The sequence below is a fragment of the Homo sapiens genome, chromosome 19 (assembly GCF_000001405.40).
Source record: "Homo sapiens chromosome 19, GRCh38.p14 Primary Assembly".
Classification (NCBI taxonomy): Eukaryota; Metazoa; Chordata; class Mammalia; order Primates; family Hominidae; genus Homo; species Homo sapiens.
This window is the reverse complement of record NC_000019.10, coordinates 8,160,847-8,173,237: the sequence shown is the minus strand read 5'-3', so window position 1 is coordinate 8,173,237 and position 12,391 is coordinate 8,160,847. Positions and strand designations below refer to the sequence as shown.

Sequence of the window (12,391 nt, the reverse complement as noted above, 5' to 3'; positions counted from 1 at the left end):
CATTGTTTCTCTCCTCTATGAGCTCCTCCACACACTGTCATTTCTTTTTCTTTCTGTATTTTTATTATTAAGACAGGGTCTCACTCTGTTGCCCAGGCTGGAGTGCAGTGGCCCAGTCATAGCTCAATGCAGCTTTGAACTCCTGGGCTGAAGCGATCCTCCCACCTCAGCCTCCCAAGTAGCTGGGACTATAGGTGCATGCCACCATGGCTGGCTAATTTTTTTTTTTTTTTTTTGAGACAGAGTCTCTCTCTGTCGCCCAGGCTGGAGTGCAATGGTGGGATCATGGCTCACTGCAACCTCTGCCTCCCAGATTCAAGCTATTCTTCTGCCTCAGCCTCCCGAGTAGCTGGGATTACAGGCACTTGCCATCATGCCCGGCTAATTTTTTTTCTGTATTTTTGTAGAGACAGGGTTTCACCATGTTGGCCAGGCTGGTCTTGAACTCCTGACCTCAGGTGATCCACCTGCCTTGGCCTCCCAAAGTGCTGGGATTACAGACGTCAGCCACCGTGCCCGGCCATCTTGGCTAATTTTTAAAGATTATTTTTAGAGATGGGGTCTCACTATGTTGCCCGGGCTGGTCTCAAACTCCTGGCCTCAAGTGATCCTCCCGTCTCGGCCTCCCAAATTGCTTGGATTATAGGCATCAGCCATTGCGTCCAGCTTCTCTTCTAATTTTCTAGGCTATTTATAGGGTCCACAATGGATCATGCCAGCCCCTCTGCTAAGGGTTATCCACCAACATCTCATTTAACCTACACTATCCTCTCCAGAAGCAAATATTGCATTGGTGCAAAAGTTATTGCGGTTTTTGCAATTAAAAGTAAAGGCAAAGCTGGGCACAGTGGCTCACACCTGTAATCCCAGCATTTTGGGAGGCTGAGGCAGGTGGATCACAAGGTCAGGAGTTCAAGATCAGCCTGACCAACACGGTGAAACCCCATCTCTACTAAAAATACAAAATTAGCTGGGTGTGGTGGCGCGCACTTGTAATCCCAGCTACTCGGGAGGCTGAGGCAGGAGAATCGCTCGAACCCGGGAGGTGGAGGTTGCAGTGAGCCAAGATCATGCCACTGCACTCCAGCCTGGCAACAGAGCGAAACTCTGTCTTTAAAACAAAAAGGTAATGGCAAAAAACGCAATTATTTTTGCACCAACCTAGTATTATTTCTCTCATGTCACAGATGAGAAAACTGAGGCTTAGGGGGAATCTCTAAATTTGTCTAGTGTCATGTGGCCAGAGACATAATTCATACCTGGACACCTCACTCCGGACGCTGTTCACAGCCCTACTCCTCTTTGGTGGGTAAATACTCCGGGAAAGGCACGATTTTCTCCTAGTGTGAATTCAGGGTAGGCAAAATAGCCTCATCCAGTCACAAGAGGCCCCTGACCTGCCTGAGAAAGGTGCTGCAAACCCCGTGCTCTGTGGCTTCCCCCACCCTTGTGTTTTTGGTCTCCCAGGGGAAACTGAGGCAGCCTGGGCAGTGGCCAATGATCCCAGACATTAGCAGAAAGAAATCCCGAATTTTCCTTGGCAGAGGGAAGCCTCAGGACCCACAAAGCAGGAACCTGTGACTTGAGGGCAATTCCCGGAGCTCCCAACCCCGCTGACACCCCTGTGAAATATGGCATAGCCCACGCCCAGAATCCCACTCCCTATGACCTGTAACTACCGTCTTTTCTTTTCTTCTCTTTTCTTTTGAAACAGAGTCTCGCTCTGTTGTGCAGGCTGGAGTGCAATGGCACCATCTCGGCTCACTGCAACCTCCGCCTCCCTGCAACCTCCGCCTCCCAGGTTCAAGCAATTCTCGTGCCTCAGCCTCCTGAGTAGCTGGGACTACAGGCACCTGCAACCAAGCCCGGCAAATTTTTTGTATTTTTAGTAGAGACGGGGTTTCACCGTGCTAGCCAGGATGGTCTCCATCTCCTGACCTTATGATCCGCCCGCCTCGGCCTCACAAAGTGCTGGGATTACAGGTGTGAGCCACCGCGCCCAGCCTTGTCTTGTCTTTTCTTGTCTTTTGAAACAGAGTCTCTCTCTGTTGTGCAGGCTGGAGTGCAATGGCACGATCTCAGCTCACTGCAACCTCCGCCTCCCAGGTTCAAGCAATTCTCCTGCTTCAGCCTTCTGAGTAGCTGGGATTACAGGCGCCTGCCACCTCACCTGGCTAATTTTTGTATTTTTGTAGAGATGGGGTTTCACCATGTTGGTCAGGTTAGTTTTGAACTCCTGGCCTCAAGTGATCTGACTGCTTCAGCCTCACAAAGGGCTGGGATTACAGGCTTGAGCCACCGTGCCTGGCACTACTCCCACTTCTATAACCCCTTCATCTCTCTGATCCTTTTATCCTCATGACAGCTTTACCCAAGCCCCTGAACAGGAGCAGAAAATCCATTCATTTAGGCCGGGTGCAGTGGCTTATGCCTATAATCCCAGCACTTTGGGAGGCCGAGGCGGGTGGATTACTGGAGGTCAAGGAGTTCAAGACCAGCCTGGCCAACATGGTGAAACCCTTTCTCTACTAAAAATACAAAAATTAGCCAGATATGGTGGCGGGTGCCTGTAATCCTAGCTACTCGGAAGGGTGAGGCAGTAGAATCACTTGAACCTGGGAAGTGGAGGTTGCAGTGAGCTGAGATCGTGCCATTGCACTCCAGCCTGGGCAAAAAGAGCAAAACTCTGTCTCAAAAAAAAAAAAAAGTCTGGGCGCGGTGGCTCATGCCTGTAATACTAGCACTTCAGGAAGCTGAGGTGGGCAGATCACTTAAGGTCAAGAGTTTGAGACCAGCCTGGCCAACATGGTAAAAACCCGTCTCTACTAGAAATACAAACATTAGCTGGGCATGGTGGCACATGCCTGTAATCCCAGCTGCTCGGGAGGCTGAGGCAGGAGAATCACTTGAACCTGGGAGGCAGAGGTTGCAGTGAGCCGAGATAGTGCCACTGTACTCCAGCCTGGACAACAGAGCGAGACTCCATCTCAAAAAAAAAAAAAAGAAAAGAAAAAGAAAATCCATTCATTTAATGCATGAACAGATATGAATTGAGCTGTGTAAACTCAAAGTATCTGAGTCAGGTCTCAATCAATTTAGGAAGTTTATTTAGCCAGCTGGGTTCAGTGGCTCACGCCTGTAGTCCTGGCACTTTGGGAGGCCAAGGCAGGAGGATGTCTTGAGCTCTGGAGTTCGAGACCAGTCCGGGCAAAATGGCGAAACCCAGCATCTACAAAAAACACAAAAGTTAGCCGGGTGTGGTGGTGCATGCCTTCGGTCCCAGCTGCTCAGGAGGCTCAGGTGGGAGGATTGATTGAGCCCAGGAGGTTGAGGCTGCAGTGAGCTGAAATCATGCCACTGCACTCCAGCCTGGGTGACACAGCCTGGGTGACACTCCAGCCTAGGTGACACTGTCTCTTAGAAAAAAGTATTTTTTTTGTTTTGCTTTTTTTGAGATGGAGTCTCGCTCTTGTTGCCCAGGCTGGAGATGGCCAGGTTGCTCTTGAACTCCTAACATCAGGTAATCCACCCACCTCAGCCTCTCAAAGCGCTGGGATTACAGGAATGAGCCACCACACCTGGCTGAAAAAAACCTTATATTTAGAGATGGAGTCTTGCTATGCCACCCAGGCTGGTCTCAAACTCCTGGCCTCAAGCGATCCTCCCTCCTCAGCTTCTCAAAGTGACATGATTACAGACGTGAGCCACCTCAACCAGCAGCCTTTTTTTTTTTTAATGGAATCTTGCTTGGTCACCCAGGCTGGAGTGCAGTGGCACAATCTCAGCTCACTGCGACCTCCACCTCCTGGGTTCAAGCGATTCTCCTGCCTCAGCCTCCTGAGTAGCTGGGATTACAGGCACCTGCCACCATGCCCAGCTAATTTTTTGTATTTTTAGTAGAGACAGGGTTTCATCATGTTGGCCAGGCTGGTCTCAAACTCCTGACCTCAGGTGATCTGCCTGTCTCAGCCTCCCAAAGTGCTAGGATTACAGGCATGAGCCACTGTGCCTGACCTGCTTCTTATTTTATTTTATATTTATTTATTTATTTTTTTGAGACAGAGTCTCGTCAGGCTGGAGTGCATGGCACGATTCGGCTCACTGCAAGCTCCGCCTTCCGGGTTCACGCCATTCTCCCGCCTCAGCCTCCCCAGTAGCTGGTACTAAAGACGCCCACCACCACGCCCGGCTAATTTTTCTGTATTTTTAGTAGAGGCGGGGTTTTACCGCATTAGCCAGGATGGTCTCGATCTCCCGACGTCGTGATCCGCCCGCCTCGGCCTCCCAAAGTGCTGGGATTACAGGCGTGAGCCACCACGCCCGGCCCCTGCTTCTTATTTTAAAATGTAGCAGGAGGCCAGACACAGTGGCTCTCACCTGTAATCCCAACACTGTGGGGGGCCAAGGTGGGAGAATTGCTTGAGGCCAGGAGTTCGAGACCAGCCTGGGCAACATAGCAAGATCCCATTTTTACACGCTGGCCATGATGGTGTATGCCCCATGGTCCCAGCTACTTGGGAGGCTGAGGTGAGAGGATTGCTTGGGCCCAGGAAGTCAAGGCCGCAGTGAGTTGTGATTGCACCACTGCATACCAGCTTGGGCAACAGAGCAAGACCCTGTTCTCAAAAAAAAAAAAAAAAAAAAAAAGAGAGAGAGAGAGACCTGGGGCAGTGGCTCACGCCTGTAATCCCAGCACTTTGGGAGGCCGACGCAGGCAGATCACCTGAGGTCAGGCGTTTGAGACCAGCCTGGCCAACATGGTGAAACCCCATCTCTACTAAAAATACAAAAATTAGCCGGGCATGGTGGCGGCTGCCTGTAATCCCAGCTACTCAGGAGGCTGAGACAGGAGAATCACTGAATCTGGGAGGCGGAGGTGGCAGTGAGCTGACATTGCACCACTGCACTCCAGCTTGGGCAACAGAAGCAGACTCCGTCTCAAAAAAAAAAAAAGGAGGCGGAGAGAGCAGGAGAAAATGTGGGTAAGAGCCTTTATTATAGTTTCCATGGGACAGGCACAGTGAGGCAGATGAAAGTTGCCACGGGCTATTTTGAATAATTTCTCCAGGCTCTGGGGCATACGTGCTGTCCCTAATTGCCTGGCACATGGCCCTAAAGTAATCAGGTCAGGGCAACAGGCTTGGATTGTCACAGCTCTGCAAAAAAGGTGGTTGTGGGGTGTGAGCTTTCCATAGGAACCGTGTGCTCTTGGACAAGCCAGTTGTTTGCAAACTCTCCAACAAATTAGCTAACCCTGAAGAAATCGGCAAACCCTGGGAGAAGCTGTCTTTCCGGCATTAGCAAGGCCCAAGATGCCAAAACATCAGGAAACAGAGAAACTCCTGGCCTCAAGTGAACCTCACAGAAAGACCAGTCCCCTCCTGTGGGGCCCCGTCTTCTGACGACCCCCAAACTAGGAAGCACTTTATTGTTTCTCTTCTCTGTAGGCTCTTCCACATGTTGTCATTTCTTTCTCTTTCTGTATTTTTATGTATTATTATTTGGGTCAGGGTCTCACTCTGTGCCCAGGCTGCAGTGCAGTGGTGCAACCATAGCTCAATGCAGGCTTGAACTCCTGGGCTCAAGCAATCCTCCCACCTCAGCCTCCCGAGTGGCTGGGACTTACAGGTGTGTGCCACTAGTCCAGGCTTTTCCCTTTCACCTTGCTTTCCCTAGGGTCTGTTCCCCTGCCCTACCTGGCTCCTGTGTCCCCAGAGAGCTGGCCAAGCAGCAAGGGAAAGGGGTTTCCCCCTTCATGTGTTACTACGGCTAAGGGACAGAACCCAAGTTAGCCACCCACCTGCACATTTGACCTCGCCACAGGGTCTGGCAGCTGCACCCTCCACAGACACTTGGATCAGATCTCGGTTCTGTTGCTCTGTGACCTCCTGTTGCAATTTGCTGGAAAGCAAGTGAATCCTGTGCCAAGACACACTGGCACACATCTGTGATTGCATGCCAGGTCCCCAGGAGGCTAAGGTGGGAGGATTGCTTGAGCCCAGGAGTTCGAGACCAGCCTGGGCAACATAGTGAGGCCTTGTCTCTACAAAAGATAAACAAAATTAGTCAGGTGTGGTGGCATGCACCTTTGGTGTTGGCTATTCAGGAGGCTGAGGTGGGAGGATGGCTTGAGCCCTAGAGGTCTAGACTTCAGTGAGCTGTGATCATGCCATTGTACTCCAGCCTGGGCAAAAGAGCAAGACCCGGCCGGGCGCGGTGGCTCACACCTGTAATCCCAGCATTTTGGGAGGCTGAGGCGGGCATATCACCTGAGGTCGGGAGTTCAAGACCAGCCTGACCAACATGGAGAAACCCCATCTCTACTAAAAAATGCAAAATTAGCCAGGCGTGTTGGCGCAGGCCTGTAATCCTAGCTACTCAGGAGGCTGAGGCAGGAGAATCACTGGAACCTGGGAGGTGGAGGTTGCAGTGAGCTGAGATGGTGCCATTGCACCCCAGCCTGGGCAACAAGAGCAAAACTCCGTCTCAAAAAAAAAAAAAAAAAGTAAGACCCCATCTCTAAACACATATAGATACACATATAAAATACAAAATATATATAAAGAATAAAAATCGTATTAGAAAATCTAAGCTGGCCGGGCACAGTGGCTCACGCCTGTAGTCCCAGCACTTTGGAAGGCTGAGGCCAGTGGATCACCTGAGGTCAGGAGTTCAAGGCCAGCCTGGCCAACATGGTGACTTCCCAGCTCTACTAAAATTACAAAAAATTAGCTGGGCATGGTGGTGGGTGCCTATAATCCCAGCTACTTGGGAGGCTGAGGCAGGAGAACTGAACCTGGGAGGTGGAGGTTGCAGTGAGCCGAGATCACGCCATTGCACTCCAGCCTGGGCAACAAGAGTGAAACTCCATCTAAAAGAAAAGAAAAGAAAATAGCAGCAGCTGCCTATACAACCAAAGGACCAATGAGACTTTTTTTTTTTTTTGGGGATGGCGTCTCACCCTGTCGCCCAGGCTGGAGTGCGGTGGCACAATCTCGGCTCACTGCAAACTCCACCTCCCGGGTTCATGCCATTCTCCTGCCTCAGCCTCCCGAGTAGCTGGGACTACAGGTGCCCGCCACCACGCCTGGCTAATTTTTTGTATTTTTAGTAGAGACGGGGTTTCACCGTGTTAGCCAGGATGGTCTCGATCTCCTGACCTCGTGATCCTCCCGCCTTGGCCTCCCAAAGTGCTGGGATTACAGGCGTGAGCCACTGCGCCCGGCCAAGATCACCTAGATTTTCTTCTAGAAGTTGTAGAGTTTTGTAGAGTTTTTTCTCCTTCCCTTCCTCCTCCCTCCTCCTCCCTCCTCCCTCCTTCCCTCTCCCCCTCCCCTCCTCCCCCTCCCCCTCCCTCCCTCCCTCCTTCCCTCTCTTCCTCCCTTCCTCCCTTCCTTTCTTTCCTTCCTTCCTTCCTTCCTTATTTTTGTTTTCTCTCCCTTCCATTCTCCACCTTCCTCTTGCACCATCACCTATAGCTTTGTATTTGACATATAGGTCTACAATTCTTTGTGTTTGTTTGCATGGTATAATATATATGGCATACAATTTACCCTTTTTTTTTTTTTTTTTTTTTTTGAGACAGAGTCTTGCTCTGTCGCCCAGGCTGGAGTGCAGTGGTGCAATCTCGGCTCACTGCAACCTCCGCCTCCTGGGTTCAAGCGATTCTCCTGCCTCAGCCTCCCGAATAGCTGGGAATACAGGTGCGGGCGCCACCACGCCCAGTTAATTTTTGTATTTTTGGTAGAGATGGTGTTTGGCCATGTTGGCAAGGGTAGTCTCGAATTCCTGACCTCAAGTCATCCGACCGCCTTGGCCTCCCAAAGTGCTGGGATTATAGGCATGAGCCACCGCGCCCAGCCACAATTTACCATTTTAACCTGTCAACGCAAAGAGTCAAACTTTAAAATATTCGAAGAGATTTATTCTGAGGCAAATATGAGTGATCATAGCCCATGACATAGCTCTCAGGAGGTCCTGGGAACATATGCCCAAGGTGGTTCGGGAGCAGCTTGGTTTGATACATTTTAGGGAGGCAAGAGACATCAATCAAACACATCTGAGAAATACGCTGGTTTGGTACAGAAAGGTGGGACAATTCAAAGGAGGTGGCGGGTCTTCCAGGCTATAGGTAAATTTGAACATTTTCTGGTGGACAATTGGTTGAGTTTGTCTAAAGGCCTGGGATTAAGCTGGGCATGGTGGCTCACCTCTGTAATCCCAGCACTTCTGGAGGCTGAAGTGGGTGGATCACTTGAGGTCAGGAGTTGGAGTCCAGCCTGACCAACATGATGAAACCCTGTTTCTATCAAAAATACAAAAAAATTAGCCGGGCATGGTGGCAGGTGCCTATAATCCCAGCTACTCTGGAGGCTGAGGCAGGAAAATCTCTTGAACCCGGGAGATGGAGGTTTCAGCGAGTCGAGATCATGTCACTGTGCTCTAGGCTAGGCAACAGAGTGAGACTCTGTCTCTAAATAAATAAATAAATAAATAAACAAACAAACAAAATAAAGACCTGGGATTAATAGAAAGGAAATGTTCAGGTTCAGATAAAAGATTATGGAGACCAAGGTTTGTTTGTTTGTTTTGAGACAGAGTTTCGCTCTTGTTGCCCAGGTTGGAGTGCAATGGCACGATATTGGCTCACTGCAACCTCGGCCTCCCGGGTTCAAGCAATTCTCCTGCCTCAGCCTCCTGAGTAGCTGGGATTAGAGGAATGGGCCACCATGCCAGACTAATTTTGTATTTTTAGTAGAGATGGGGTTTCTCCGTGTTGGTCAGGCTAGTCTCGAACTCCTGACCTCAGGTGATCTGCCTGCCTCCGCCTCCCAAAGTGCTGGGATTACAGGCGTGAGCGACCACACCTGGCCCAAGGCCATTTCAAAATATGGTAAAGAAACATGTTTTGGGGTAAAATACTTTTATTTTCTTCTTTGCCACATAATGTTATGGCAGAGTCAGGTTGGAAAGTAAGTGACGATATATAGGATTAAATAAAACCCATCTGATGAGGATTTATGGTTTGTGGGGCAGGCCCCTTAGATAGGAATCTGGGCAAGATAAAAAATATCGGAGCTTAGTTCTCAAACCATTTTTAAGTATGCAACTCAGTGGTATTAAGTACATTCGCGTTGTTTTGCAACCATCACTGTCAGAAGTATGTAAACCAGAGCGACTCCGTCTTGAATAAGGGCTGGGTAAAATCAGCCTGAGACCTACTGGGCTGAATTCCCAGGTGGTTAAGTCATTCTAAGTCACAGGATGAGACAGGAGGTCAGCACAAGATACAGGTTATAAAGACCTTGCTGATAAAACAGATTGCAATAAAGAAGCCAGCTGAAACCCACCAAGACCAAGATGACGACATGAGTGGCCTCTGGTTGTCCTCACTGCTGCACTCTCACCAGTGCCATGACGGTTTACAGATGCCGTGGCAGCATCAGGAAGCTACCCTCTATGCTCTAAAAAGGGGAGGCATGAATAATCCACCCCTTGTTTAGCATATCATCAAGAAATAACCATAAAAATGGGCAACCAGCAGGCCTCGGGGCTGCTCTGTCTATGGAATAGCCATTCTTTTATTCCTTTACTTTTCTAATAAACTTGCTTTCACTTTATGGACTTGTCCTGAATTCTTTCTTGTGCGAGATCTAAGAACCCTCTCTTGGAGTCTGAACTGGGAGCCCTTTCCCATAATATCTTCACCATTCATCTCCAGAACTTTTTCCAAACGGGAAATCTGTACCTATTAAATAATAGCACTGGCCGGGTGCTGTGGCTCACACCTGTAATCCCAGCACTTTGGGAGGCCGAGGCGGGTGGATCACGAGGTCAAGAGATCGAGACCATCCTGGCCAACATGGTGAAACCCCGTCTCTACTAAAAATACAAAAAAATTAGCCGGGCGTGGTAGCGCATGCCTGTAGTCCCAGCTACTCAGGAGGCTGAGGCAGGAGAATCTCTTGAACCTGGGAGGCGGAGGTTGAAGTGAACCAAGATCATGCCACTGCACTACAGCCTGGTGACAGAGTGAGACACTGTCTCAAAATAATAATAATTATGATAATAATAACACTCCATCCCTCTTCCCCCAGCCCCTGGTAACCTCCATTCTACTTTCTGTCTCTGTGAATTTTCCAATTCTAGGTACCTCACTATGGTCCCTTTTGTGTTCATTTTTTTGTTTTTTTTGAGTCTCACTCTGTCACCCAGGTTGGAGTACAGTGGCTCGATCTTGACTCACTGCAACCCCCACCTCCCAGGTTCAAGTGATTCTCCTGCCTCAGCCTCCCAAGTAGCTGGGATTACAGGTGCCCACTACCACTCCTGGCTAATTTTTGTATTTTTAGTAGAGACGGGGTTTCACCATCTTGGCCAAGCTGGTCTTGAACCCCTGACCTCAGGTGATCTACCCATCTTGGCCTTCTAAAGTGCTGGGATTACAGGTGTGAGCCACTGTGCCTGGTCTGTGTTCATTTTTGTTTTGTTTTGTTTTTAGATTTTTAAAAAGTTTTAAAATTTTTTGTAGAGAGGGGTTCTCACTTGTTCAAGGCCGGTCTCGAACTCTTGGGCTCAAGCAATTCTCCTGTTTCAGCCCCCAAAAGTGCTGGGATTACAGGCGTGAGCCACTGCACCTGGCTGCATTCATTTTTTACGAAAGGTGTAAAGTCTGTGCCTATTTTTTGCGTATGGACATCTGATTGTTCTAGCACCATCTGTGGAAAATGTAACCACACCAGACCAATCTGGTTCACCTTTTTTTTTTTCTTGAAGACAGAGTCTCACTCTGTCGCCCAGGCTGGAGTCTAGTGGCGCAGTCTCAGCTCACAGCAGCCTCTGCTTCCTGAGTTCAAGTGATCCTCCTGTCTCAGCCTCCTGAGTAGCTGGGATTACAGGTGAGCACCACCACACCTGGCTAATTTTTGTATTTTTAGTAGAGATGGGGTTTCACTATATTGGCCAGGCTGGTCTCAAACTCCTGACCTCAGGTGATCCGCCCGCCTCGGCCTCCCAATGGTTCAATTTTTTTTTTTTTTTGGAGTCTCGCTCTGTCACCCAGGATGAAGTGCAGTGGCGTGATCTCAGCTCACTGCAAGCTCCGCCTCCCGGGTTCACGCCATTCTCCTGCCTCAGCCTCTGGAGTAGCTGGGACTACAGGTGCCCGCCACCACACCCGGCTAATTTTGTTTTTGTATTTTTAGTAGAGACGGGGTTTCACCATGTTAGCCAGGATGGTCTCGGCTAGTCTCGATCTCCTGACCTCGTGATCTGCCCGCCTCGGACTCCCAATGTGCTGGGATTACAGGTGTGAGCCACCGCGCCCGGTCCCAATGGTTCAACTTTTTATTTTTTATTTTTTTTCAAGAAGGAGTTTCACTCTTGTTGCCCAGGCTGGAGTGCAATGGCAGGATCTCGGCTCACCACAACCTCCGCCTCCCAGGTTCAAGCGATTCTCCTGCCTCAACCTCCCTAGTTGCTGGGATTATAGGCATGTGCCACCACGCCCGGCTAATTTTGTAGTTTTAGTAGAGACGGAGTTTCTCCATGTTGGTCAGGCTGGTCTTGCACTCCCGACCTCAGGTGATCCGCCCGCCTCAGCCTCCCAAAGTGCTGGAATTACAGGCGTGAGCCACCACGCCCGGTCAGTTCAACTTTTATGTAGCAGAGTTGTGAGTTGTTTTTCAGTTGCCACGGACCCCCAGGTAGAAGGTCGCATAACCTGAGCATGTCCAGGTGAACCAACTGTGTAACCACAGGCAGAACCTAAGTGCTCCCACTGAGGAGAGAGGGGTGGAGACTGAATTAAGAAGCAGACACTGCATGACAGGACCCAGGATCCAATCAGAGTGAGCCCTGACATCATCCCATGGCCGGATCCAATCAGATCATGCCTCCCGGCATCACCTCAGTGCAAGATCCAATCAGAACACGCCTCATTACCCTATGCTTATAAAAGCTGCCCCAGCCTGCAGCTCCCGGAGACAGATTTGAATGTTTCTTCCTGTCTCCGTGCAGTCGACTTGCAATAAAGCTTTTATTTTCTGAAAAGCTGGTGCCATGTATTGGCCTGTATGTGCATTGGGCAGGGAACACATTGATTGCATAGACAGCAAAAAGACTGTCCTTTCTCCGTTGAATTGCCTGTGAGCTTTTGTCAAAGATCAATTGATTATATTGGTGTGGATTTATTTCTGGACTTTCTGTTCTGTTGATCTGTGTGTCTTCTTTTGCCAATACTGTCTTGGTTATTGCAGATTTCCAGAACGTCTTGATATTGGGTAGTGACAGTCCTCCAACTTGGTTCTTCTTTGATATTTTGTAGGCTATTCTCAGTCTTTGTCTTTCTGTATCAATTTTAGGATCAGTTTGTCAATATCTACAACCTGGC

General features: G+C 49.5%; 2 annotated features.

Annotated features, from left to right (window-relative positions):
• Nucleotides 9,096–9,901: an enhancer, noted in NCBI's record as "H3K27ac hESC enhancer chr19:8228221-8229026 (GRCh37/hg19 assembly coordinates)". NCBI's record gives its function as "activates a minimal SCP1, AML or CMV promoter by ChIP-STARR-seq in primed H9 embryonic stem cells {active_cell/tissue: H9 hESC(primed)}" and the evidence as "EXISTENCE:reporter gene assay evidence [ECO:0000049][PMID:30033119]".
• Nucleotides 11,546–12,047: an enhancer, noted in NCBI's record as "H3K27ac hESC enhancer chr19:8226075-8226576 (GRCh37/hg19 assembly coordinates)". NCBI's record gives its function as "activates a minimal SCP1, AML or CMV promoter by ChIP-STARR-seq in primed H9 embryonic stem cells {active_cell/tissue: H9 hESC(primed)}" and the evidence as "EXISTENCE:reporter gene assay evidence [ECO:0000049][PMID:30033119]".